The 2,122-nt window shown below is 56.0% G+C and overlaps 1 annotated feature.

Annotated features, from left to right (window-relative positions):
- Nucleotides 1,022-1,609: an enhancer, noted in NCBI's record as "H3K27ac-H3K4me1 hESC enhancer chr21:43079701-43080288 (GRCh37/hg19 assembly coordinates)". NCBI's record gives its function as "activates a minimal SCP1, AML or CMV promoter by ChIP-STARR-seq in naive H9 embryonic stem cells {active_cell/tissue: H9 hESC(naive)}" and the evidence as "EXISTENCE:reporter gene assay evidence [ECO:0000049][PMID:30033119]".

Here is a 2,122-nt window from a genome sequence, read left to right as displayed (position 1 = left end):
TTGGGCACCTTGGGGCTCACACCTGACAGTGACGTTGGGGATCCCTGCCTGGCTGCACCGTGCTGTTCCCTCTGCCCTTCCCAGCACCGTGGGTGAAGCTGACTCCTTCTCCCCGCTGGCCTCAGCCCTCTCCCACCTCCTAAAGAGGCAGCCCCAAAGGGACGGCCGTGCCCACCCAGCCCGTGCCACTCTTGCATCCCTTTCTGCTGTTTTCCTTCAGAGCACCTGGCTCTAGAGCCACAGGTCCTCACAGTGGGTGTCTCCCAAGGCTACCATTTCTCAGCACATCCTGGAGAGGGTGAGAGAGAGCACTGAGTGGACCATCCAAGAGCACGGCCGCATCCCAAAAGTCCTGCTTCGGAATGGACTGACTTGTGTGAGGCATCTGCAGCTGCCCTACAGAGGTTGTGGGGGACAGGCTTTCAGCTGCAAAATGTTCCCGTAGCTGCTTCTTCCTTCACGCTTGACCTTCTGAAATCAACTATGCGTTACTTCTGAAATTTAAAAAATTCCAGAAAAAAAAAGAGAAGAAAATCCAGACAGTCTAAAGAAAGTGTCTCAAGCAATTCTGCCGATGAACTGGGTTTGGAAATGCTAACTTCTACCCTGGAATGTTGGCATGGCCAAGGTGATGCCAACTGGCTCCGGGTAGCGGGATGGAGTGAGAGTGTTTGGCAAAGGTTGCAGACTGGTGACCTGTGAGTCAGCCGGATCTGACCAGTCCAGTGCCCTGGGCCAAGCCTTCCCAGTGTAGGGGAGTTGCTCACACTGCAGTTCACAGAGTCCCCGGGGGCTGGCGCACTCTGTACTTCCTGCCTGGCCCTGTAGGCGTTCAGCTTTGCAATAGCTGGTGGGGAGTGGGGGCAGAGGGGGGCAGCTCCTCCAACTGCCGTAAAGCTGAACCTCAGCCCTGTCCCAGGAATCAGGGCTGCCCACATGAGGGCAGGTGCGTGCCGAGGTGGCCCCACCCGGATCCCTGTACCTGGAGCAGTGTTCTGGGCCTAATGGCAGCCTCCAGAAGTGACCACTTACTCCCAGCCTACAACCAGGGCCTCACTGCCTGATGTGGGGTACAGCCACAGCCCCTTTCCTCAGCGAGGGGCAACGCAGTGGTGTGACCACACGCAGAGGCTGTCTCGGCTCTTTCCTTCCCCACAGCCCCCGGCTTGCTCAAGGCCCCCTCCCATTGCCACTCATCTTTTCAATAGACTGGCCATGAGAATCCGTCTCTCAGGCTGTGGGTCTAGGGAAGGGGTCCCAGGAAGCAGACTCTGCAGATGAGACCCTGTCCAGGTGGGATCCCTGCCAGTTGGGTGGCCCTGAGGGTCCCAGCACCTGGGATGAGAAGATTCTCAGCCCCAGTGTCCAGGGAGCTTCCCCTCAGCTGGGTGAGTGGGTAGGTGGCAGTGGAGGGAGGCACAGTGGCTGGAAGGTCATGGGAATAGTGGTTGTAAAGGCTAGAAGTGGGCAGCTACACCTTCAAAGAGGAAAACAGGCTGTCTTGGGGCTGAAGTCAAGGGTCTGAGACACGGGGAGGGGACCCCAAGCCTTGGGGGGGAAATACTTGGGCAGGTGCATCTGAAGTCTTTAAACGCCAGATTCCACCTAATTCTCTGGGCTTGCAAAAGTGGTCCCCTGCCCCTTGTTCAAAGATAGATTCCCCCGTTCACCCTCACCCTCTCTTCTGCTTAAAGGTAGAAAGGGGTCTGGTATAGCGGTGTCTTGTGGGACAAATCTTGGCTTCCTCAGCACCTGCCTCCCTCTCCTTCCTGGCCTGACCTCTGGGTGTCTGGTCAAATCGCAGCACTGCCTGGCTGACACCTGGAGCAGGACCCAGAAGACCATCCCTGAAGGGGAGTCTCCAGGGCTTTGGATCCAGGGAAACAGGGTGGGGAACCCCTGGGAACCCCAGAGTCGGTATGAAGATTCTTTTAAGCTGAAGTCATGTAAGAAAGATTTAATAGATGCAGAAAGAAACCTTCTTAGAACTTCTCTCATCTCACTAAAAGAAACTTCTAAGAGGTGAGAAGTGCCCTAATTCCCTCTTTGAGGTGGCTTCTCCTCCCAGGAGAGAGATCCAGAATAAACCTGCTATGAATTCCTTCTCCAGGGGAGTTTTGTG

The sequence above is a fragment of the Homo sapiens genome, chromosome 21 (genome assembly GCF_000001405.40).
Source record: "Homo sapiens chromosome 21, GRCh38.p14 Primary Assembly".
NCBI lineage: Eukaryota > Metazoa > Chordata > Mammalia > Primates > Hominidae > Homo > Homo sapiens.
Note: the sequence above shows the minus strand (reverse complement) of the source record. Positions and strands in the feature narration are given on the sequence as shown.